Raw genomic sequence first — 27,484 nt, forward strand, 5'->3', positions numbered from 1 at the left:
CCACAAGAGAAAGCAGGAGAGATTTAAAATCGACACCCTAACATCACAATTAAAAGAACTAGAGAAGCAAGAGCAAACAAATTTAAAAGCTAGCAGAAGGCAAGAAATAACTAAAATCAGAGCAGAACTGAAGGAGACAGAGACAAGAAAACCCCTTCCAAAAAATCAATGAATTCAGGAGCTGGTTTTTTGAAAAGATCAACAAATAGATAGATCACTAGCAAGACTAATGAAGAAGAAAAGAGAGAAGAATCAAATCAAATAGATGCGATAAAAAATGACAAAGGGGAAATCACCACCAATCCCACAGAAATACAAACTACCATCAGAGAATACTATAAACACCTCTATGCAAATAAACTAGAAAATCTAGAAGAAATGGATAAATTCCTGGACACATACTCCCCAGACTAAACCAGGACGAAGCTGAATCCCTGAATAGACCAATAACAGGCTCTGAAATTGAGGCAATAATTAATAGCCTACCAACCAAAAAAAGTCCAGGACCAGAAGGATTCACAGCCGAATTCTATCAGAGGTGCGAAGAGGAGCTGGTACCATTCCTTCTGAAACTATTCCAATCAGGAGAATAACAGGGAATCCCCCCTAACTCATTTTATGAGGTGAGCATCATTCTGATATCAAAGTCTGGCAAAAACACACACACACACAAAAAGGGATCTTTAGACCAATATCCCTGATGAACATTGATGCAAAAATCCTCAATAAAATACTGGCAAACCAAATCCATCAAAAAACTTATCCACCAAGATCAAGTTGGCTTCATCCCTGGGATGCAAGGCTGGTTCTACATACGCAAATCAATAAATATAATCCACCATATAAACAGGACCCAAGACAAAAACCACATGATTATCTCAATAGATGTAGAAAAGGCCTTTGACAAAATTCAACATCCCTTCATGCTAAAAACTCTCAATAAACTAGGTATTGATGGAATGTATCTCAAAATAATAAGAGCTATTTATGATAAACCCACAGCCAATATCATTCTGAATGGGCAAAGACTGGAAGCATTCCCTTTGAAAACTGGCACAAGACAGGGACGCCCTCTCTCACCACTCCTATTTAACATAGTGTTGGACGTTCTGGCCAGGGCAATCAGGCAGGAGAAAGAAATAAACGTTATTCAATTAGGAAAAGAGGAAGTCAAATTGTCCCTGTTTGCAGATGACATGATTGTATATTTAGAAAACCCCATCGTCTCAGCCCAAAAGCTCCTTAAGCTGATAAGCAACTTCAGCAAAGTCTCAGGATACAAAATCAATGTGCAAAAATCACAAGCATTCCTATACACTAATAACAGACAAACAGAGAGCCAAATTATGAGTGAACTCCGATTCACAATTGCTACAGAGAGAATAAAATACCTAGGAATCCAACTTATAAGGGATGTGAAGGACCTCTTCAGGGAAAACTACAAACCACTGCTCAACGAAATAAAAGAGGACACAAACAAATGGAATAACATTCCATGCTCGTGGATAGAAAGAATCAATAACTTGAAAATGGCCATACTGCCTGAAGTAATTTATAGATTCAATGCTATTTCCATCAAGCTACCAATGACTTTCTTCACAGAATTGGAAAAAACTACTTTAAAGTTCATATGGAACCAAAAAACTGCCTGCATTGCCAAGACAATCCTAACTCAAAAGAACAAAGCTGGAGGCATCATGCTACCTGACTTCAAGCTGTACTACAAGGCTACAGTAACCAAAGCAGCATGGTACTGGTACCAAAACAGAGATATTGACAAATGGAACAGAACAGAGGCCTCAGAAATGACACCACACATCTAAGACCATCTGATCTTTAACAAACCTGACAAAAATAACAAATGGAGAAAGGATTCTCTATTTAATAAATGGTACTGGGAAAACTGGCTAGCCATATGTAGAAAGCTGAAACTGGATCCCTTCCTTATACCTTATACAAAAATTAATTCAAGATAGATTCAAGACTTAAATGTTAGACCTAAAACCATAAAAACCCTAGAAGAAAACCTAGGCAATACCATTCAGGACATAGGCATGGGCAAGGACTTCATGACTAAAACACCAAAAGCAATGGCAACAAAAGCCAAAATTGACAAATGGAATCTAATTAAACTAAAGAGCTTCTGCACAGCAAAAGAAACTACCATCAGAGTGAACAGGCAACCTGCAGAATGTGAGAAAATTTTTGCAATCCAGTCATCTGACAAACGGCTAATATCCAGAATCTACAAAGAACTTCAACAAATTTACAAGAAAAAAATCAAACAACCCCATCAAAAAGGTGGCAAAGGATATGAAGAGACACTTTTCAAAAGAAAACATTTATGCAGCCAACAGACACATGAAAAAATGCTCATCATCACTGGCCATCAGAGAAATGCAAATCAAAACCACAATGAGATACCATCTCACACCAGTTAGAATGGCCATCATTAAAAAGTCAGGAAACAACAGGTGCTGGAGAGGATGTGGAGAAATAGGAACTCTTTTACACTGTTGGTGGGAGTGTGAACTAGTTCAAGTATTGTGGAAGACAGTGTGGTGATTCCTCAAGGATCTAGAATTAGAAATACCATTTGACCCAGTGATCCTGTTACTGGGTATATACCCAAAGGATTATAAATGATGCTACTATAAAGACACATGTGCACGTATGTTTAATGTGGCACTATTCACAATAGGAAAGACTTGGAACCAAGCCAAATGTCCATCAATGATAGACTGGATTAAGAAAATGTGGCACATATACACCATGGAATACTATGCAGCCATAAAAAAGGATGAGTTCATGTCGTTTGTAGGGACATGGATGAAGCTGGAAACCATTCTGAGCAAACTATCGCAAGGACAGAAAACCAAACACTGCATGTTCTCACTCATAAGTGGAACTTGAACAATGAGAACACTTGGACACAGGGCAGGGAACGGCACACACTGGGGCCTGTCGTGGGGTCAGGGGATGGGGGAGGGACAGCATTAGGAGAAATACCTAATGTAAATGATGAGTTAATGGGTGTAGCAAACCAACATGGCACATGTATACATATGTAACAAACCTGCATGTTGTGCACATGTACCCTAGAACTTAAAGTATAATAAAAAAAAGAAAATTTCCTGAAAGCTTATACACTAAAATGTACCTAATCATTATATGTAAATGGTGAGATTAGAAATAATTATTTTAATCTTTATAGAGCATTTTCAATTACTTTACAATAAACATGATTTCTTATGTAACCAGAAATGTGTATATATGTGTGTGTATGTGTGTATGTGCAGAGAAAGAGAAAGAAATATTTATATTGAAAAATAGTTAATTACTTAGAGAAAGACATGTGAACCAGAAGCAATAGTTTGCATCACTGTGCAACTTGGAAAAGCCTTATATGGATTAGCATGGCGTCCTCATTCAGGCAGGAAGCTTTTATAGCCCGGTGATAACAGTAGGGAAGAAATCAGGCCTGTGGCTTGGGGATGAGATAAGAGGTTATTAATCTCTTTGGAGCTAAGTTCCAATTAATTGTGCTTTAACAATCCATAGTAACCTGTTATGTTCACTCTCCCTCTCCTCCCCAGTTGCTGCTGGGTGTGAAAGTAGGTGGTGAAGAGCTTGGAGAAGAAGGGAGAGAACCAGGTATAAACAAGACTGCCATGTTAGGCAGGGCCGGCTTCATGGGAGTGCAGCCTACACAGTCACATAGAGCCTGGCACTTAGAAGCATGAAACTTGATTTAATGCTTGGCTGTCACTGACTGAACTTTTTTTTTTTGAAACAGAGTTTTACTCCTGTTGCCCAGGCTGGAGTGCAATGATGCAATCTCGGGTCACTGCAACCTCCGCCTCCCAGGTTCAAGCAATTATCCTGTCTCAGCCTCCCGAGTAGCTGGGATTACAGGCGCCCGCCACCATGCCCGGCTAATTTTTGTATTTTTAGTAGAGACAGGGTTTCATCATATTAGTCAGGCTGGTCTCGAACTCCTGACCTCAGGTGATCTGCCCACCTCGGCCTCCCAAAGTGCTGGGATTACAAGCTTAATAATTTTATGTTTGAATTTCTGTTTCATAAGTGCAGTGCAATGGAACAATGGAGACTTCATGTGAGTGGCGGAGATACGTGCAATATGTGTTTCTGCAGTTCTGTGATGCACCATTCACACATAGTGTTAGAGATGTCCCATAAGCACAGTGTTCTGCTAGGCCCACGATTTGAGAGAGTTCAGTTAGGACTCAAAGCCAGTATGAGGTAAGTGTGTTACATCTACAGCTTAGCAGGCCTGGGGATAGGGAATGAAGTGTCTACCAGCCCCAAGAGGCTATGCTTTCCTTTTGAACCAAAACCTGCTTCAAATGCAGAAAGAAGGCAGTGGTGTTATAAGAATCACAAAGGACCAAGGATTTCTATCATATCCTTTTTCATTCATATCACTTCCTTGTATTAACAAACCACTAATGTTGAGGGTGATGGCATAGAAGGAAATGGAAAGATCAGCCAACCCATATTTCCATTCCCTTTCAGTCCTTCCTGACTCATCAATAAGCTGAAGGTAGGAGAATGTCGATAGGATGTGCAAGTTTCAGGAAGTCAAATAAAAACAGTTGAGTTAGTTTTGTGCAGGGTTTCTACTGTTCTGATGGAAAATGAAATATGTATGTATGTATGAGCTATAAAATAAGAGTTGCTTGACTTCAGTGATTCCATATATGAGTTCAAGACTCATATTTGCATTTAAAGCTGACATTGCATAACATAAAAATGTGTGGTCAATTCATTCTAATTATTTCACACTCTCATTTTCTTTACTTAGAATAACATTAAATAGCAAATTTAAACATCATGAAAAATTTAAAGAGACCACTGAAGAAAGGAAGAAGCTTTCTATTTTAGTACATTTAACAGCATTTTCCCCTGCTTTTTGAGCAAGGGGCCCTGTATTTTCATTTTGCACTGGGCCCTATAATTTTGTTGTTGATCCTTGTGGTAGGAAAGAAAAAATGGAACAGTGTGGTGAGCTAAATTCTAAGTCCCAGCAGAAGGTGGGATGAAGTTTGGCATGCAGGGCATACAGTAAGGATCAACACTTGTAGAAGGAAAGGGAAGGATGCAGGATTAGGCAGAGAGGTCGAACTGCAATGCAGGCCTAACAAATTCTCAGTCAATCCCAAATGAAATGGTTCAGCCCTGATGCACGTCCTCAATCAGCCATTGGCGGTGGGTGCCCCCTCTACGCCCAGGGGTCTGCTCTTGGGAGACGCAGCTTTCTGCAGGTGAGGGGGACCTAAGAACTGACAGCTGCAGGCTCTGCTGACTGTACACCCTGCAGCTAAGGCCAAATGAGTGGCACATCTCTGTGTTCACCGCAGTCCCATTCTTGTATGCCACACGAATGCTCTATGTAATTCTCTGTCAAAGGGGTATAAAAAGTGGTCCTTCTCTATCCAGTGATTTAAGAAACCAGACATGCTGCAGCAGATCTGACGCTAGATTAATAATTATATCAGAACTTGGAGTACTAAACAGTCACACCCAACGACAGAGAGAATGGTAACATAAACTGCCTGGCATTGATTAACTGCAACAGTCAAACTAGCTTTAATTCAGTGCAAACAACAACAAAAACCTTATGATGTTTCTTAACATTTTAAAAATTGCTAGTCTAATACTAAAAAGTTTATTATTTTCTCCTAACCACTAGGACTTCAATTTAAGTGAATAATGATTTATTGGATTTACCCTCATTATAAAATTCAGACATGTACCACATAATGACATTTTGATCAACAATAGACTACATAGACAATGGTGACTTCATAAGATTATAATATCATATTTTTACTGTACCTTTTCTATGTTTATATACACAAGCACTTACCATTGTGTTACAATTGTCTACAGTATTCAGTATACAGTAACATGCTGTACCGGTTTGTAGCTTAGGAGCAATAGGTTATACGACATAGCCTAGGTGTGCAGTACGCGCTACTTTCTAGGCTTGTGTGAGTACACTCTATGATGTTCACATGACAATGAAATTGCTTAATGATATATTTCTCAGAACACGTCCCCGTCATTAAGCAACACATGACTGTAGTCTAGTTATCCTTACCCGAAGGCTTCTCAGTGGAAGCACTATTGACATTTTGGGCCAGGTAATTATTTGTTGTGGGGGGCTTTCTTGCACACTGTAGGATGGTTAGCAGCATCCCTGGCTTCTACCCAAAATGTCTCCAAACATTGCTAAATGCACCCTGGAGACCAAAATCAGTCTGCCCGAGAACCACTGACCTACTCAATTGCCAAGTTCTACTTATTCTCTCTCTCTCTCTCTTTAACCTTTTTACTTTTATTGCCTCCCTCCCTCGCTCCCTCCCTTCCTTCATTTGTCTCAGCTCTGTTGCCCAGGCTGGAGTGCAGTGTGTGTGCAGTGGTGTGATCACTGCAGCCTTGACCTCCCGGGCTCAAGCGATTCGCCTACCCCCTACCTCAGCCTCTCCAATAGCTGGAACCACAGGAGTGCACCATCATGTCCAGCTAGAGACAAGGTCTTCCTATGTTACCCAGGCTGGTCTCCAACTCCTGGGCACAAGTAATCCTCTCGTCTCAGCCTCCCAAAGTGCTGGGATTATAGGCATAAGTCACTATCTCATATATATCCCTCAAATTCCTCAACATATTAATATCTCTAACCCCCTTACCATTCATCATTCACACCAGCACCTTTCTCTGGTACTGCAGCCAAAACCCTCCTAATCTTCCTGAATTCACACCAGGCTACCTTCAGTACATTCTACACCCAATGTTCTAGAACACCAATCAGATCCTAATGCTTCATACTTTTTAACCTGACTTAGGAGACTGCATGAGCTAGCCCTTCTTAGTGTGCCTCCTTTCTGCGCATCTGTTGGGCTCTTCACTTCAGCAATACTGAACTTCTGCTTGCCTCTTTTAACACATCACCCATGATTTTTTTTTTAATATCTTTGAGCCTTCACTTTTTTTTTTCTTTTCTAGCATGCTCTCCCAACCTCCCACATTCTTTAGTCTCAAGATAACCTTCCTCCAGGAAGGTTTCCCTGACCACTCAAGTCTCTCTTGATTCCACTCTTACGTGTTTCAACTACATGCTGGACATTTATCACACTGTGTGGCAATTTCCTTTGCATTTGTTTATATTCTTCACTAGACTGTTACCCTGTGACAGAAAAGACCATGTCTGTCTTATCTCACACTGAATCCCAAATATCTAGTATAGTACCTGTCATATACTTGGTGTTCATAAAACACTTTTCAAGGGAAGCAAGCCAGGAAGGAAGGAAAGGAGGAAGGATTAAAGTTGGTAGAGGAAGTGACTAGAAGACAAGGAAGTGAAAATGATTGAGTAGCAACTTCAAGAACTATGAATGAGAAAGGGAAGAAGGAGGAAGACTGGATGGTAGCTATATAGGAACATGTGGTTAGGTGAGGTAAAGTAGGGATGTGAAGAAAATGAGTGTTACAAGCTGAGAAAACAAATCCACAAGAGGGAGATGCAGAAGCTGGAGATGTAAGAGGATCACATGATGTCTAAGAGAAAAGGGCCCCCAGATGATGATATTTTCAAATTATAAATAATAATCTCTTTTTTTCACTAAATTGTTTTGGGGAACTTAGTAGTGTAACCATGTCTGTCCCTTGTCACTTTTTTTAAAGGTTACTTTGATTTCTGCTTGCTGGTTTTCTTAGATGACTTAATCAGTCATATGAATCAAACTTTAGATATACAGAAATCAAAATTAATACCTGAAATTCTTGTCTAAACATGTAAGCAGGCTTAACAAAGGCAAACTTTCTAATAACCACATACAGGCTTCTGAATGATTGTGACTTTCATGAAATATGGGAAGAATATTTTATCACTTATCTGTTCTCAAAGGGGAAAAGCACCACAGAACTTTTTGAGTAGTAGTTTCATGATGTATGCCTCTGAACACAGGCATGATATTAAATAAATGAAATTTTATTGGGAGCATGTGTGCATCTCACTCCAGAAATTATTTTTATTATTTTGGTTGTTCTTTGGAATATTTTACAGTGAAGCAGGGTCCTGATCCCTGGTTCTCACCCTAGGTAACTGAGGTTTTTGATAAAGCTTCTTAATCCCTCAGGGCCTCAGTTTCTTTATCTCTAAAATTAGCATTTTGGTAAACATGACTGCATCAGTCAGAATGGGCTGGATTATGCTGCAGTAGCAAACAACTCCTAACAACTTTCAGTGTTCATAGGCTCTGTTCATAAGAATGTGGAAACAAAGTATCACCAAGTGTCATCTGTGACGAAATGACATTCTCAAAAATACCTTCTCTCAGAGGCCAGTATGACTGCTGTCTCAATCTTGCCACTCTGCTGTAAAATTTTTCTCTGTCTCCTATACAGTGAGTGCTGCCAACATCTGGCATACTAGAATTGATCTACTGGGCACTGCAGCCTAGTGGCTAAAAGTCCTGCCACTTACTAACCATGGGACCTTGGACATGTTCTTCAACTGCTGTGTGTTATGAGGATTAAATGATTTAATCCATAAAAAATGCTTGAAGAATGCCAACATGCACAATGTAAGTGCTCAGTTAAAGTTAGCAATTATTATAAGAATTCAACTATTGTTAAGAGAGTTCAAAAGAACTCTACAATCCCATAGGATTCTAGACATATATTGCACCTAAGTTAATTTGGACCCAGTAGACTTAGAGAAAAATAGGTCTCAGACCTGGAGGGGGACAGGGTTTTGGACATTTAAATCAAACATTGCTTTTTAAGTATCAACCCAACTCAAGTGGCCAATTTATGAACAGAATAGCCTGCAATTACACATGAAGTATGATTCTTTTTTTTTCATTTTTTAAAATTTTATTTTATTTTACTTTAAGTTCTAGGTTACTTGTGCAGGATGTGCTGGTTTGTTACATAGATAAACGTGTGCCATGGTGGTTTGCTGCACCTATCAACCCATCACCTAAGTATTAAGCCCAGCATGCATTAGCTATTTTTCCTGATGCTCTCCCTCTTCCCACTCCCCCACCCCGACAGGCCCCAGTGTGTGTTGCTCCCCTCCCTGTGTCCATGTGTTCTCATTGTTCAGCTTCCACTTATGATTGAGAACACAGAGTGTTTGGTTTTCTGTTCCTGTGTTAGCTTCCTGAGGTTAATGGCTTCCAGCTCCATTCATGTCCCTGCAAAGGACATGATCTTATTCCTTTTTATGGCTGCATAGTATATACATAGTGGTATATATGTACCACATTTTCTTTATCCAGTCTATCACTGATGGGCATTTGGGTTGATTCCATGTCTTTGCTATTGTGAATAGGGCAGCACTGAACATACGTGTGCATATATCTTTATATTATAATAGAATGATTTATATTCCTTTGGGTATATACCCCGTAATGGGATTGCTGGGTCAAATGGTATTTCTATGCAAAAATTGACAAATAGGATCTAATTAAACTAAAGAGCTTCTGCACAGCAAAAGAAACTATCATCAGAGTGAACAGACAACCTACAGAATGGGAAAAAATTTTTGCAACCTATCCATCTGACAAAGGTCTAATATCCAGAATCTACAAGGAACTTAAACAAACTTACAAGAAAAAAAACAAACAACCCCATTAAAAAGTGGGCAAAGGACATGAACAGATGCTTCTGAAAAGAAGACATTTATGCAACCAACAAACATATGAAAAAAGCTCAACATCACTGATCATTAGAAAAATGCAAATCAAAACCCCAATGAGATACAATCTCACACCAGTCAGAATGGTGATTATTAAAAAGTCAAGAAACAACAGATGCTAGCAGGGCTGCAGAGAGATAGCAACACTTTTACACTATTCACAGGAATATAGATTAGTTCAACCATTGTAGAAGACAGTGCGGTGATTCCTCAAAGACCTAGAACCAGAAATACCATGAAGTGTGATTCTTTTTTTTATAATCTTTATTGAATATTTTTATGTACAACCAGTTACATTTTTTTTTGTAGGCAGAGAACACATGTACTTAATTTTACACAGAACACTGAATTAGCCAGAATTTTCTGAACTAAGCACCCTTTATTCCATCCTGCTTTAGCTACTATTTCTTTTTGGAACAAAGATCTCTCCCCCTGTGACTTTTTCAAAAATATTCAGACTGTAATGCTATTGTAATTTGTTTAGTGGAAACTGAGAGCAGCAGTATAAACATATTTACCCCAAGTCTGATTGTGATTGTGGTGTTCTGAGTTATCCTAAAGATGGAGAAGGGCCTGGAAAACTCTGTAGAACATCCATTGTGTCCCTGAGGATCAATAATGAAAGATGTTAGCATGTGTGGATGTCCTGGGTTCTGCCTGGGCGGTTTGTTTATTTATTTGTAGATAGGAGCATAACATAGATGTTCTTTTTCAGACAGAGGGATTGGCAAATTTTTTCTTCTTTAAAGAACCAGCATCCATTTACTGTTGATAAAGATAAAATTGTTTATAGTGCTGCCAAATCTAAGTAGCTGTTATGTAGAATCTCCTCCAGTATCATCGCCAATTGAATCCAATATGCGTTAGCCCATATACCTCTGGCCAAACGAGGCAGGGGTTTTCAGTCAAACATGTTAGACTGGTCAAGTGATAACACAAAATTGGGCATCTATGAGTTTCATGCTCTTCATGGTTCTTCCACAGACAGAAGTATGAGAATTTGACCTTTGGGTCTATTTACCTGTCTGAAAAATAACAGGATTAGGCACTTTGGAGCTATCTACTTACTTCTTTTTTGGTGTACAGAGGACTTAAGAGTTAAGCTCCCTTAGTTATCCAATTGAAAGATTTGGCATAAGCGCACCAACTATAATTAAGGAAATGACTCAAGTGACAGGCATTCTACCACCGGAAGGTATTTCTGGAGTGAACTGATTTTGCCTTTCGATTCTTCATCATCAAATTCATACTTAGATACAGCTTCACATTAAGCAGATAGAATAAATTGCCTTTACTGTTCACATACTGAAGAGCTTTACTTAATTACGATTTGGTTGGGAACAAGGTGGAAAGAGGCATTATTAGTGATTACTCCTGACACTTTTGAACAGTTTTTAAGTTCTTAAAATACATCCAATCATGAATTTCAAAGCATAGAAAGAATCATGGGGTGATGGTAAATCAGGATGGATTATCCCCTTCCTATAAATTGCAATGTGGGGTGAGTTAACAAACCACTTTAGGCTCCTGAGTTAACTTTTGATCTTACTGGAAAAAAATTGTGCAAGTAAGATGTGTTTAACTTTTTCCTATTTGTCTGTGGTATGTCGGAGGAGGGGCAAGCCTAAGAAGTTTACAGTAAAGTAAAACACTGTGAAAAGTAAGGAGAAAAGTTGAAGAGCACTCAGGAATACCTGTTCCTCTGCAATTTTTCCTATGGAAGAATTTTGCACTAAGATATACATTTTATGAGAAGAAAAGATAATTAATTCCTTGGTTCCTAGGTTTCTTAGTCTGAAGTGTGATTCTTAAGAGGGCCTGTGTAAGAGTAATTTGGAGACATTTATTCCCTTGATACTATGACTTCGCATCGCTGATATGACAGCTCGCTGGATATTAAGAAGTTGCCCATGTTAAGACAATGACTCCCATAACCAAGGCAGTTTTTTTAAAAAAAAAAACCCATGTCTTATAATACACAATTGTTCTAAAGGATAAGCTGCAGAGTTTGCATGTTTGTGTGTGTATGTGTATGTTTGTGTGTGTGTAGTGTGTATGCAGGGGCAGGTAGAAGTGTGGTGTGTGTATGAGAATAGTTTAGGAAGCTATTTAGTTATGTATTGGAAAGGGCATAGCGGTTTCTGTGTTTATGTGTGTGTGTGTGTGTGTGTATGTGTGTGTGTGTTTCAAGAGTCAATGGATTATGAATGTATGCACAGTGACAAACAAACAAACAAACAAACAAACTAGAATTCTAGTCCAGCTCTGTCCTACTAGACAAAAAGAAATGTAGGCCGGGCATGGTGCCTCGCCCCTATAATCCTAGCACTTGGAGAGGCTGAGGCGGCAGATCACCTGAGGTCAGGAGTTTGAGACCATCCTGGCCAACATGGTGAAACCCCGTCTCTATTAAAAATACAAAAAATTAGCTGGGTGTGGTGGCACGCACCTGTAATCCCATCTATTCAGGAGGCTGAGACAGGAGAATCACTTGAACCCGGGAGGCGGAGGTTGCAGTGAGCTGAGATCACGCCACTGCACTTCCGCCTGGGCAATAAGAGTGAAACTCTGTCTCAAAATAAAATAAAATAAATGTAGACAAGTCAATCTTTCTGAGCATCAGTGTCCTAATCTATTAAATAGAGGGTGAATAAATCACAAGGCTCACATGAGGCAATGTGATTGGAAGACTTATCTTAGTATCTCATCTAAAAGCACTATGGGCAATTCCACAGAAGTGCAACTTCATCATGAAGACTCAACTACCCCTAAGATTCCAGCATGATCCCTCCTTCTAAAGCATTGTGCCCACTTCCAGAACTCTTTCATCATGGGAATGATGGAAGCTTCTATATGAAGGACCAAGGATAGGGATTCCTTTTAACTCCATGACTTCCTCAAACCCAGAACACAAGACTCATAATATAGATGAGTCTTACAGACTCATATTATAGACTCATAATCTAGACTTCTTAATGTCCAGGGAGCTGTCATATCAGTGATGAGAAGTCACAATGCCAAAGGGATAATTGTCTCCCAATTCCTCTTACAGAGGTCTTCTTAAGAATCATACTTTGGCAGGGCACAGTGGCTCACGTCTGTAATCCCAGCACTTTGGAGGCTGAGGCGGGTGGATCACCTGAGGTCAAGAGTTCGAGACCAGCCTGACCAACATGGTGAAACCCCATCTCTACTAAAAATACAAAAATTAGCCAGGCGTAATTTTTGTATCCCAGTACAAAATTTTGTATCCCTGTAATCCTAGCTACTCCAGAGGCTGAGGCAGGAGAATCGCTTGAATCTGGGAGGCGGAGGTTACAGTGAGTGGAGATCATGCTATTGCACTCCAGCCTGAGCAACAGAGGGAGACACTGTCTCAAAAAAAAAAAAAAAAAAAAAAAATCACACTTCATAGTATTTCTGGTTCTAGGTCAGGGAGGAATCACCACACTGTCTTCCACAATGGTTGGACTAATTTATATTCCCACCAACAGTGTAAAATCACTCAGCATCAATTATATTATTTTGAACAAATCTGTAGTTTATTATGATACACAATCAACCAACCGTTACTGTAGCAAAGATAAACATCTTATTCTATCCTGCACTGTATCTTTGTTATGGGAGGGACACTGATGCCTGTATTGATGATGCCAACAAATAATTAGTCCAAATTACTTTCTTGTAATGGTCTGCTGCCAGAGGAGAGAAATAAAGATTTCTATTTGAATGAAAGCACCTGTAGAGGAAAGAGCTCACATATGTAGATTTCGAATGCATATTTACTCCAAATATAAATGAGATGGATGAGTCTTAATGTACGTGCATCTAACTTAGGCATATTCAACACTGACTTTGGAGAAAAGTAAGAGGGAGAAGAGAGCAGGCAAGAATGAGAGAATCCCTGTATCTATGTTTGTGCTCTCCTTCAACCTAGAAGTCATCACCACAACAGCCAAAATGCAAAATAAAGCAAAATAATTTAAATTCTAGGTTTTAAGCTTCCAGGGGCTTAATGAGCCCTAGGGAGCCAAGAAATTTTCCAGGATTATTTTGGCCTTGCATGTTTTATCCTTTCTGGGATGAATATAGACCCTAACCTTGTGTAAGATTAACTCTGTGTGATACATTCACACATCCAATGTAAACTTTATAATCATACTCTTGTCACCTGGTACCCCTTTTCCTCATCCCTAGACTTAAAGCCACATCACACCATTATGACTATGATCTCTTGCCATCAGTTTGCCCATAGTGTTTTTCTTGATTTATGAATTATAGATCACACATCCTATTAGCTTTGTAAAACTTTAATGAATAAGATCTATCTTAATTTAGATTTATCATTAAGATGACAGTTAAAAATTCTGGAGAAACACACTTGTAGAAATGATCTTACCCTCCCCTGGAGCTATGCCAGCTTAAGCTAACTTACCTTCTCAGGTATGCATTTACCAATCCTTTAAAATCCCCAGAAAAGTGATTTCATTATGAAAATACTGTAGGACATTTCCCATGCTATTTCACATGTGATGAGTTTTAAGTATTTCATATTACTGAAGAGTGGAAGATGAAGAGTGAAAAGAAATAGATGTTACATCCTTCCACATCTTCTGGAGCTGCTTATGAAAATGAATGGCTGGAATAGTCACAGCATTGGCCTACAAATGTCCTAAGACTCCAGGTTTAAATATCAGATATGATAGAAAAGATCACTATCTGGGACTCATAAGTGTCAGAGAATCACATACTTTGCAAAGGAAACGATACCTGAGCAGTCAACGGAAATATACACACCCCACATGAAAAGACCACTATCTGGGACTCATAAGTGTCAGAGAATCACATACTTTGCAAAGAAAATGATACCTGAAGAGTCAACGGAAATACACACACACCACATGAACACACACATATCTTCACAATGATGGGTTCAGAAAGAGAATGAAGCAGATTTAAAAGAAAAGACAGGCCAGGTCATCTTAATAAGTTAAGAAGAAAATCCTACCTACCTTGTGACTGCCCGTGTGCAGATGGTAACAAGGAAACAGCCAGCCACAATCATCCAGCCCCAGCCTCCATCTGGAGGGGAGGTAGACCGAGCTCTATTTACTTTTGCCATGGTTTTTCTTTTTTCTTCTTTTCCAGGTTGCTCCAACAGCCAAGTTATGATCTTGGAAGAGTTTGCTGTCCAGTGACTTCCTGATGGCATTCAAGGTTGGCATAGAACGCTACCTGGCCCATGGGTTACTCGCCATCTAAAACCAAAAATCAGGACATATTTATATCTTATTGCTATGTCCAAAGGTTGATTTTTCTTCACTTGGTAAGACATGATTATTACTTTCCTATTAAATATGAGTATTTGTAACTATGAATACTAGACTGGGGCAGACTATTTGTTGTCCTTGGTACATGCTTTCTTTTTTAAAAATAAAATAGAACCTCTCAAATTGTAGTCAAATGCATGTCTACTCTATTTGATACCATTTTTCCCTAGCCTCTCTTGAAGGTAGTTGTGGCAATAAAGTGTAGTCTCCATGAAAGGGATGTGAGCAGAAGTCATGTGTGCCACTTCTGGTTCATCAACTCAAAGGCAAAGGTACTTTTTGAGGACTTCCAGCACCCTCTTCCAACAGACTGGAAGATGGATGTGGATATGAAACGACTTCAACCACACAGACCAGGACATCAGTCTAGGGGCTGGCAGAGGTACGAGACAGAAGCAGCCTGGGTCCCCAGATGACTCTGGGGAGACCTGCCCTCCTACTCTGGACTCTACACATCTCTACACTGTTACACAAAAGATAAATAAGCTTCCATTTTATTTGTGTCTCTGTATATAAGCTGTTACAACAGCTTATAACATAGACTAATTATTATACGGAATGAGTCTGACAGCAACTTCTTGGCATTTTTTAAAATGCTGTAATTTTTTAAGTGTGTAATTGAAGTAAGAATAGAATGAGAAATAAATGAGACAAAGTAGAGAGCCCAGAAGCTAGTATATAATATTTAATACAATCCAAATAAGGTAAAAAAAAGATCAGTGAAGAAAAAAAGTATTATTCACCACATTCTGTTCAACTCTCCATTTAGCTGTTGACCTTCCAGATAAATCAATAAATGTAAAAAAATAAAGAAGTAGTTAAAAACCTAAGTGAAAATATAGGCAAATATTTATCTGTTCTCTAGATAGGAAAACTCCCTGAGGTGTAAACTAATAAAACAAACCAAGATAAAAAAAATTTCGTTAATTTGTCTAAATTAAAATTTAACATTTCTGTATTAAAACATGTGATTAATAAACAAAACCAAAAGGTAAGCCACAGGCTTGGGGAAAAAAACATTAGCAATACATACTTCAAAGAAGTAATATCTGCATTCATTCATTCATTCAACTCTAAATATTTATTGAATCCCTAACATGTGTCAGGCACCGTTTTAGGGCACTAAGGATTCAGTAGTGGTCACAATACACAAAGCTCCCTGTGGTGGGCAGGCTCTAAGGTACCCCTATGGTCCTGACTCTGGTTGTTCATATCTTTATGTAATCCCTTCCCTTGAGCGTGGGAGGGACCTGTGACTTGCTTCTACCCAACAGAATATGGCACCTGTGATGGAACCTGACTCTCGTAATTATGTCACGTTATATATGACTCAGGCCTGCTAGCCACTCTCACTCTCCCACTGTCCTTGAAGAAGCAAACTGCCATGCTGCACACCTGGAGAAAGCCATTTGGCAGGGAACCATGGGCAGCCTGTAGATGCCAAGGGCAGCCTCCAACAGACAGCAAGAAACATGAAGATCTCAGGGTCTTTTGTTTTTTGCTTTTTCGCAAACATCCCAAGTGAGCCTGGAAGCAGATTTTCCCCTAAATTGAGCCTCCAGTTAAGGACAGTCTCACTGACACCCTGACTGCAGCTTTGTGATACCCTTAGCCAAGGACCCAGCTAAGCTATTTCTGGATTCTGGCCCCACAGAAACTGTGAGATAAGGTGCTTCTTAAGGCATTCCATGGCTTGTCAAACAGGCTTCTTAATTACAGTCAGGGACGAATTTTTTGAGAGGAAAAATAAGAGTTTCAACATCTACTTTTGCTACAGAATTGAGCAAATTACCCAGTTGCTTTTATAATTTTATTGTGATCACTGGACGAAATATTAACATTAATTAAATGAAATGTCATTTCAACTATGACAATGTGTGGATTATTTGATGAACAAAGACTATGTACCACCTGGTAAATTATGGGCAAAATAAATTGTCTAATAAAAAACATTTACTTTAAGACCACAACTTTCTCAAGAAAATGGCTCACAACAGAAATTTATAAGTGTGCATCTTTGAAGCCACTGGAACAAATTGGTGGCTTGTGACTTCAGAGAGTGCATACAGAGCAGGGGTAGTGAGGCCAAGGCAACAAGAATGATTCCCACATACATCACTTAGGTTTGCCCCTTTTGAAGCCTCAGGTCTTCATCTTCATGCTGTTAACCATCCTGTGACTTTGGGGAGACTGACAAAGGTGATTACGTGGACAACTGAAATTATAAATCTATCAAAAGTATTGGGAGACCAATACTGGCATAAATACTAAACCTATTGATAAAGAAAAAAATAAAAGTTATTACTGGAAATGATAATATTGCTAAACACTGGCCTGAGGATTGACTAATAGTTAAAATACTGGTGTTGGGGCTAAGTGAAAATAACAGTGATATAGAGCTGCTATTTACAAAACACTTGCCATAGGCCAAGCTGCTAGCAAGCATCACTACAGACAGCATCTCATTTAATCCTTACAAGATTAAAGATACCTTTAGATAATGAAGCAGCAGAAATGGGCTATGAACCTTGGTCTGATTGCAAGGCCAGTCTTCCTAACCAATGCCCTGCACTGCTTCTACTACATTTCCTTATTCCTTGGTATAAATTCATAAACGTTTTTGTCTAATTATACACATAATTCTTGCTGATGACACACCAGTAGGATGATGTGAATTGCAGCCTGACGTAGCTATAAATGCAGTTCTTTAAATGGTACCATTGGTATTTCCCTGAAACATTCTTGTAGGTCACTGACTTGACCAGCTGTGAAATTTCAGAGCAAAACTAACCCTCTAAAGGTGTCCTTAACACTCTGGAGCTTCAGAATAAGTTTTTCCAAAATATAACTTTGTGTCATGAATAAGTAGCTTTAACAGTCATCTACTTTCTTCCCCAAGATGAAACACTCAAGGAAAAACTCTTATTTTAAAAGATCTACCATACCTGTATTTTTGCTTTCACACACAGCCTGCTGGAGAAGACAGAGCTGGTAGTCCGTCCCTTCCTCTATTCCATCATAACCCTGGCTTTGTTAGGATTCAACTCTATCTGCTCTTTCCAGTGGCCATCTGGGCCCAGTCCCTTGGTTTAGGGAATGGGTTTGGATTGGTCTCCCGTTCCCATGTCAGTGAGTGATGAGGCACAGAACGGGAAGTATCCAGCCAATGAGCTATGGAGAGAAGTCCTCTGGGAAATGTTTCCCTGTTCTTAAGAAAAGACATGAGGAAGAAACAAGCCCCTCTTCTTCCTGTAGATTCTGGATGTGATACCTGGATCTATAGCAGCCACTTCTTAACCATGAAGGAAGCTAGTTTGAGGACAAAGTTAATGAGCCAATACCCAGATGGAAGATCTGGGTTCTGACTCTGCATCTTAAGAGTTATATGAATTCAAGCAAATTACTTTATGTCTCTGAGCCTCAGTTTACTGATCCATAAAATGGAGGTAATAATTTTACTTTCACAAAATGTTGTATATATCAAAGTGAGATAAAACATGAGGAATATCTGGCATAAAAATGTAGATATTATTTGCCATGTGATTTAACCTCTTTTCATTTGTTCATCACTCATTAATTCAATAGATATTTATTGAGTGTCCAATATGCACTAGAAACTATTCTAGGAGCTGGGCTATGAGCATTGCAGAAAAGAGACAATAGCCCTGCTTTCATGAGGCTCACATCCTAGTGGGACAGGCACAGTTCATGAACTGTTGAACAATAATTTCTAAGCCTCAGCTTTCTTGTTTGTACAAAAAATTACCTTCTGCCTACTTCACAGAATCATACTTATAGTCAAATGAGAGCACCCACAAACCAGCAGCAACAAGCAAATCAGGCTTCAGGACAATTTTATTACGCCTACAGTGTTTTGTAAATGTTTACATTAGTTGGCACTTGTAAATATCAGATACTATCCAAATTTCCAGATTCTTCTGAAAAATTGCAAGCTCTAAAAAGATGCTGGGCTGCATTCCCTTGTGGCAGCCATGAGATGGAGCCAAGCAGCAGTGTCCCCTTTCAGACAAGTCCTGCACTTCCCCTTTACCCTATCCCTGATAGAGTACCCTGATAGGGTAAAACTGCACACACATTTGTGTGCAGTTCCTGCGTGCTTCACCTGCCAGGCCCCTGGGGCAGTAAGATTTTCAACTTCTGCCCATACTGTGCTAACATAAATCAAAGCTTCTTAAACAGCCACGTGAGTCATGTTTATGGTATGTTTTATGCCTAGCACCCTCTCTTTCTCTCAATTCCAATAGAACCGGCATTCAAGAGTCTACCTACACCTGTGACAAACACACACAATGGAATAACTCACCAATTGGACACAATTAACTGCCAAGTGTTATGATGTGATACAATCAGTTGTACCAGTAAAAAAAGGCACAACTTAGAAACTCCTGCCTTGGTATAGTCCTAGCTTCTTCTTAGGCTTTTCCATTTAAATAACCCCCAAGGTTAAGTTGTTTTCCAGTGTAAGACTATAAATCCACCTACCCATAAACATCCGGCATAAGGACCATCCTTATTAGTGCCGCCCTATGCTGTGAAAGAATACTGAAACAGCCAGAGCTGTGCAACAGCCCTTTTAAAAAGCAACATAATGTGATGGATCATGAATTAGAAAGGTATCCACATTCTTTCAATAGCAATTCTATTTCTGGGAGGTTATCCTAAGAAAACAATGTAAGAGAAGCCACTATAGGCAAAAAATAATAGCTGCATTAACAATAATATATAAAACAGAAACAACCTAAATGTTTAACAACCGGGAAGTGTTTGGAGAATTATGACATGTTCAACAAATAGAAGAGTATGCAATTCATTACAATTATAAACAGGAAGCTAATATTGTTATATGGAAAACTATTACGATGCAATATTAAAGCCAAAAAAAGACGCTCATCTACTTTGTGAGGGAAGCTATGTAAAGCTTATGTAAAAGTTGTATGTTTGTAATTGTCACAAAGAGTAGGAAGAATATGTAAAAAGGAATATAATTGAGCTGGTATGATTAAGTTATTATTCATTTCCAAAACTGTGTTAAATATCATTTTACATGTAATTTTCTTAAATAGAGATTTCAGGTCTGTTCCTTTGGTGAGCACAAAAGTCTCTTTTTTATGGTTTTTCAAGGACTAAAAATAACTATCATTTATTGATATGGCACATTGAAAATGAGGTGATTATTCAGTAGAGGACACATTGTAGGCAACAAGCCCCTGGCAAAATAAAATGTTCTGTTTCTTTACAAAAATATTAAGCATGATTAATTTTTACTTTGCTGCTGCTAAACTCACGATTCCCTTTTCATTTGTTTTAGGTGAGCATCTTCTGTTTGGCATTTCCACATGTAATAAGTTAAGAACTGATTTGAGAAGATATCCAAAAAATGCAATTGTATAAATCCAAATAAAAAATTTAAATAATCATCCCAAGATGGCTGTGGTGATAGCACGATGAACAAAGGTCTGTTGTAAGTCACAGAGTCAACCTGGGTAAAACCACAGGACAAGGAACATCCTCATGGGACACCAGGGTGGGGAGAAAGAGCCTCTCTGCAAGCATTTGTATGCAATACTATTACTAACAATTTCTCATGAATAAGCGCACTCGATCCTCACCATCCTCAGGGATAGATGCTATCTTTCTCTCTTTCTCAATGGTGAAACTGAAGCTCAGAGAAATGAAAGGACTCCCCTGACAACACTGCATGTGAGTGTAAATGGAGGCAAGTAGCTTTGGCTGACTTTGGATGATGCACTTGTCCATCTGCTCTGAGATTTCAAAATTGTTATTGGCGTTTCTGTCAACAAGATGTCCAAGCAATACTAACGCTTAAGCACCATTCATGTGAGTGACCACGACAAAAGGAAGGGGGGAGAAGCCGACAAGGTTATCACAAGGTTATATGGCTGTTCACAAAACAACGCATGTGAGTTTCTTTCAAAACAGGTCATTTAATAGATTTATACATATTCAGAAGAAATGTGCAGGTTAGACATGGCAAACCTTGTTTCCTGGAGACTTTGAAGCAGTCTGCAATTCTCCCACAACATTAACCTGAGCATTCTTGTAAATAATTAACCCACCTGACAAGAGACAAATATAATGGGCAGGTCTTTTATTAAGTTAATAGTATTGCAGCCGGGCACAATGACTCACACCTGTAATCCCAGCACTTTTGGAGGCCAAGGTGGGAGGATCACTTGAGGTCAGGAGTTTGAGACCAGCCTGGCCAACATGGCGAAATCCCATTTCTATAAAAAATACAAAAATTAGCTGAGTGTAGTGGTGCATGCCGTAATCCCAGCTACTTGGGGGGCTGAGGCATGAGAATCACTTGAACCCAGAAGACAGAGGTTGCAGTGAGCTGAGATCACGCCACTGCACCCCAGCCTAAAACTATAAGCAAAGGAAGCATTTACCATCTTGCAACTCTTCATTTTACTAATCAGCCTCCAATTCATATTATTTTGACATCAACGACTGATGAATTTTACTCATCAAATGGAACAGTATTCTGCATCCCATTCTAGCTTCGGAAAAATTTTCTGAGATGAAAGAATTACTACATGATGATGTTCTTCTAAGATTACTGTTTACAGTGCAAGTTGGGATATATTCTCAATTTCACTTTATCCTCTTTACTTTAGAAAAATCATTTGCAAAAATTCTTGCTAACATTCAGTAAACTCGCAGTAAAGCACTCCATTTGTGGGGCAACTCTTTTATGTTGCCCACAGTAAAGTTTTCTGAAGATATTTCTTTTATCACTAGAACACCTACAAATTTCTTATAGTCAGTAAGCAACTAGAACAAAGGGAAGAGTATTCCTAGAACCACTTGTTTTGGAAGGCCCCCAACATTGGCTTTCCCTTGTTCTTTCCTTCCTTGACTCCTTCTATTTCCTTCACCTTTAGCTGTATTCTCACCTTATAAATTTGTCTGTAGCCACAAAAGAGATAGAGTATGATGGAAAAATACCAAGGGTGGGCATTTGGGCTGAGTCCCAGTGACCCTGTATGAATCACTTCCTTCCTGCTGCTATTTCCTCATTAATAAAATCAGGATGTTGAATTACTGATATCTGTCTTCTAAACCAGATGACTACTAACTACATCTTCCCTAATATGTAAGTTAACTGGTATAGGTAAGCACTCTCAGTAAACTCTAATTAACTTTACTCTTTGTTTACATAATAACTCTTTCAAGGTAGAGACAATTCCTCTTTGTTATTGCTTAAGAATCATGAAATTTGCCAGTCTCCTTTTTTTAGGCATTTCTGAAATATTCCTATACTATAGGTAATATTTTTTAAGAAATCTTCTGGTGTATTGCCCCTTTCTGGTAAGCCAGGTTCCTTTAAATATTCCCTTATGTCATTAAGACTAAGTCAAGAAGCCTATTGCTGTAGGGAATGAGACATAAGCTCCATCCAGAATAAATGCATCCCCAGGCAAGGAATCATGGGATTGTGTTATAGGGGACATTCCCACCACACAGAAAGGGAAAGTAGAAGCCTACCCTGAGAGGAAAGGGAAACGGATTTTAAAGGAAGGGTGATGAGCTGCCCATGTTTCTTAGGGACTATGTTTCCCACTCCCTAAGTCTTGACCAAGGACAGGTATGTGATATGGTGAAGAGATAGTTTCCCTTTAACCTAGGTAGCTGAGGGGGAAGTGCCAAGAAGGAGGCCTGTGCTATTTGTCCCATGTATAACTGTGGGAAGACATAACTTCAGGGGTCCCCTCTGTCTAAGCAGAGAGAAACAGAGTGCCCACTGACTGTCCTTCACCTCCTAGGTGGCACAGAAGTGATGGGGGGATTCCCCCATGTTCTCAATAGAGACATGGAAGATAGGTGAGATAAGAGCCAGGGCCATGGCAAAGGGAAGAGGGATTCCATGGCAAAAGTGCTAAGCCAGATGGAAATCATAGTTGACCCTTAAGAACTACAACAAGAAAGGTTGGGAATTCCTCCAGGCCCTGGCCATATGGAGAATACAAACCATAAGTTCCCAGCAGCAAAGTACACAATGAGGACAGAAGCCATCTCCTAGAGAGCACCAAGATGAGTTTCACTTTCTATGCACATTCAGGAGGCCAGCAGGATGCCCAGTAACCAATACTAGGAAAACCTCTGCATGGACCAATGAGAACTTAGAAAACAACCAGAGGGCCTGCTTGCTAACCACCTCCCCCACCACTACCACAAGGACACGGACACGTGAGCTCTCCCCTAGACCAGACACACTCATGAAGAAGGAGGAATAAACACAAGAGAGGAGAGAAACAACCCTAATAATCAGAGTAACCTCAGATTTGGCTGAATAATATCCAAAGAAAGCTGATCTTAGATGAAAAATACTAAATTTGCAAAGACTGTTAAACATTTTTAAATTGAGGTATAACTTACATACAATAAAACATGCCCATTTTAAGCCTACATTTCAGAGTTTTGACAAATGTATCACTTATGTAATTACAACCACCACAATCAAGACAAAGAACATTTTTATCATCCCCAGACATTCCCTCATGCTCCCTTGCAGTCAATCTTCACCAACCCTGGCACCAGAATACCACTGATTTGCTTTCTGTCAGTATAAATTAGTTGTCAATATAGATTGCTTTCTGTCAAGATAGAATTCTGTCAAGAATTTCATAAAGATAGAATCAAACAATATGTATTATTTTGCTTCTGGCCTCTTTCACTCAAGATAATGTTTTGAAATCATTCAGTTTGTTGTGTGTATCTACAGTTGATTCTTTTTATTGCTGAATATTACTATGTGTTATGGATATACTACAATGAGTTTATTCATTTGTTTGTTGATAATTGTTACAGCTGTTTCCAGTTTTACATTATGAATAAAACTTCTATGAACATGAGTGTACAAGTCTTTTTGTGGTCATATGTTTTCATTCTCTTGAGTAAACCCCTAGGAAAGAAATTGCTCAATCATAGGGTAAATGTGTATTTTAACTTTAGAAGGAGGTGCCAAACTTGTTTTTAAAGGTGGTTGTGTGATATTTTCAGTACTAAATTAGAGTTCCAATTGCTTCGCAACTTTGGCAATACTTGGTATTTATGGTGTGATTAATTTCAGTCATTCTAGTGATATCAAATGGTATCTCATTGTAGTTTTAATTTGTACTTCCCCAATGACTAATTATATTAACCAATTTTCATATAATTATTAACAATTCATATATCTTTTTTGTGAGGTGTCTATTCAAGTATTATGCCTATATTTTACTAGGTGGTCTGTTTTTTATTATTGGGATACAGGAATACTTTATATATTCTAGATACAAGTTATTTGTGGATATATGTGTTAGAAATATTTTCTCCCACTCTGTGGCTTACCTATTCATTAATTAGTGGTGTATTTTGAAGAGCAGAAGCCATTAATTTTGATGAATTGAAATTTATTATTTTTTCTTTTGTAGTTGATTGCATTTCTCTATATTAGTGAATAATTAGAAATTAAAAAGTTTTAAATACCACTTTACAGTAGCTTCAAAAAATATGAAATGCCAAGAAATAGATTCAACACAACATGTGCATTATTTTTACATTAATAATAATGTAATAATAAAACAGCAATAAGAAAAATTTACAAAGGCCTAAAAAAGAGAGAAAGAGAGATACCCTGTTCACAGATTGGAAGACTTGGAAGATGTCATATCTACTTAAGTTAGTTGATAGTTTCAGTGAAATCCCAAACAAAATTCCAGCAGCATTACTTCTTTCTTTTTTCTTTTCTTTTCTTTTCTTTCTTTTTTTTTTTTTTTTTTTTTTTGAGATGGAGTCTTGCTGTGTTGCCCAGGCTGGAGTGCAGTGGGGCGATCTCGGCTCACTATAACCTCCACCTCCTAGGTTCAAGTGATTCTCCTGCCTCAGCCTCTCGAGTAGCTGGGAATCCAGGTGCCCACAACCATGCCCAGCTAATTTTTGTATTTTTAGTAGCGATGGGATTTCACTATGTTGGCCAGGCTAGTCTCGAACTCCTGACCTCAAGGGATCCACCTGCCTTGGCCTCCCAGAGTGCTAGGATTACAGGTGTGAGCCACCGTGCCTGGTCAGTATTTTTTCTTTTAAATTTTTTTCTTTTTTATTATTTTCTTGAGACAGGATCTCACTCTGTCACCTGGGCCAGAGTGCAGTGGCGCTATCATGGCTCACTGCAGGTTTGACCTCCTGGGCTCAAGTGATTCTACCACCTCGGCAACCCAAACAGCTGGGACTACAGGCACATACCACCACATCTAACCAATTTTTGTATTTTTTTGTAGAGATGAGGTTTCACTATGTTTCTCAGGCTGGTCTCAAACTTTTGGGCTCAAGCGATTCTCCTGCTTCGGCCTCCCAAAGTGCTGGGATTACAGGCATAAGTCACTACACCTGGCCTCAGCAGTCTTTTTTTTTTTTTTAATGGAAACTGACAAGCTGATTCTAAAATCTATATGGAACTGCAAATGACCTAGAAAAGCCAAAATATTTTTAAAAGAAAGAACAAAGGTTGAAGACTTACATTAACTGATTTCAAGACTTGTTCTAAAACCAGAGTAATCAAAACAGTGTGATATTGGCACATTATATTAGTGGAACGGAATAGAAAGTTCAGATACAGACCTACACATTTATTCACATGGGGAAAAATGAATCTTGACTCTTATTGTCACTCCATTTATACCAAACCTATAGATAGAACATGTAAACGTAAAAGAAAACTATACAACTTATGGAAGAAAACAGAGGGAAAAAAATCTTTATAACTTGGGAATAGGCAAAGGTTTTTTAGAGAGGACAAAAGCAGCAAAATAAACTCCCCACTCTTGCCTTCATTTAAAATGGAGGCTTATGAAGAAGTTTACATTTATTATAGCAACAAACAAGTTGTAATTTTTTTCGTATCTATATTGTTTTACGAGTAAGTTTCAACCCTACCGCAACTCACTAGAGAAGATTTCTAAATGAACTCTACTATTACCTCTGCAGTGGGGAGGTACTCTTTTAGGGTACCTTTGTAACCCTTAATGTGTCCCATTTGAAGCTCTTTGATCTACACACTCACTCCTGTCTCTGTAGAGAAGCAAGAGGGAAACACACAGATAATATTTCTAATCATGGAAACTCAGTGTCCTCAGCCATAATCTGTTTGCCTGAGGATTGGCTGGTCCTTGAAGTCCTCAGCAGAAGCCACGTTCAGCCCATAAATATGATCATCTCCTTAGCCAAATATCAGCCTCACTCCTAGCCCATCACTACCATACCCACCTATCCTATAATACTATAAATTTCTTTCAACTCACTGAAAAACTCAGGCTTTATATCTTTTTACATGCTATTCATTTTACCTTCAAATTCCTTTCTTCCACACTTCCCCACCTGAATTACCTATCACTCCTGATTCCACTGCTTCTATGCCTTAAAACAGGCATCTCCCTCTTCCAGGTTTTTGGAGATCTCTGTGTATGCCTTTCCTGGCACTTATCAAATACATTCTTGTTATCTATTTACCTTTCTCTCTGTCTCCCACTAGACTGTTTAACTCCCAGAGCAAGTCACCTTTGCATCTTCCCCCAATTCCTCTCACCTTACCCAAACCCAAACAAAATACATGCATGCACACACACGCACCCAAACACACTGCCTGGTTCAGAATAAGAGCTTACTCTACGCCTAATAAATGAATGAAATAAGTTCTGCCTTCACCAGGGAGAACCCCCTCAAGTCATAAGAAATAAAAGTGTAAATAACTGTCACTAGTTTTTAAATGGCCATTCAGCTGAAAGAAACATGGAAAGCACTTTATCTTCATCAGAGAGGTCTAATCTTCACAAAGCAAGAAAATCAACCATTATAACTAGAAAACGAACAGTATTTAACACAACCAGCTTCTCTCTAAACAGCGCACACCAGAGTGTGGCATTCATGTCACGGAGGTACCAGCCAGCACTCAGAGCTCAAGTGTCTGACTCTTGGAACACAGAATAAGCCACAAAGTAATAACAGTAACAATGATTATTACTATTTAGGGGCACTGAATCCACCAGGCTCTGAATTCACTGCTACATATATGTTATTCCATGTTATCTTCATCTTGACCCTGTGACGTAGGTATTATAATCTCCATTTTACAGACAAAGTAAGGAATGCTCTATCCAAGATTCTACCTCAGGTCTGATTTCAAAGCTTGTGCTCTTATTCACCGCAAACCATTGCCTCTCCCTGGCCTTTAAGCTGCGTCTTGGTAGAAGCCATAACTGTCATGTTGGATGTTGTGTCCCCAGCAACTAAACAGTGCCTGACATGTGTTTGCTAAATGTTGTTGCTAAATGTAAGCCTCTTGTGGATATTCAGAAAACGATAGATTGGCTCCCTATCACTTCACATTTTATTACTCCCTCTT

At 38.9% G+C, this 27,484-nt stretch overlaps 1 protein-coding gene and 1 long non-coding RNA gene across 8 annotated transcripts in view; one reads left to right on the forward strand and one right to left on the reverse strand.

The window, feature by feature from the left end:
- SLC16A12 (solute carrier family 16 member 12) overlaps window positions 1-27,484 on the reverse strand; it is a 126,406-nt gene that overhangs the window by 17,341 nt on the left and 81,581 nt on the right. For all 7 annotated transcript variants that reach the window (XM_047425223.1, XM_047425221.1, XM_047425222.1 and 4 more), the window contains one exon: window positions 14,740-14,985. In XM_047425223.1, coding sequence (XP_047281179.1) covers window positions 14,740-14,939 — 200 coding nt within the window. In that variant the 5' untranslated portion in view covers window positions 14,940-14,985. The remainder of the gene's footprint in view (window positions 1-14,739; window positions 14,986-27,484) is intronic.
- SLC16A12-AS1 (SLC16A12 antisense RNA 1) lies at window positions 8,352-20,512 on the forward strand. The gene is made up of 3 exons (NR_120614.1): window positions 8,352-8,609; window positions 14,876-15,053; window positions 20,387-20,512. It is a non-coding gene; the product is annotated as an SLC16A12 antisense RNA 1 (long non-coding RNA).

This window comes from Homo sapiens, chromosome 10 (assembly GCF_000001405.40).
Source record: "Homo sapiens chromosome 10, GRCh38.p14 Primary Assembly".
Lineage (NCBI taxonomy): Eukaryota > Metazoa > Chordata > Mammalia > Primates > Hominidae > Homo > Homo sapiens.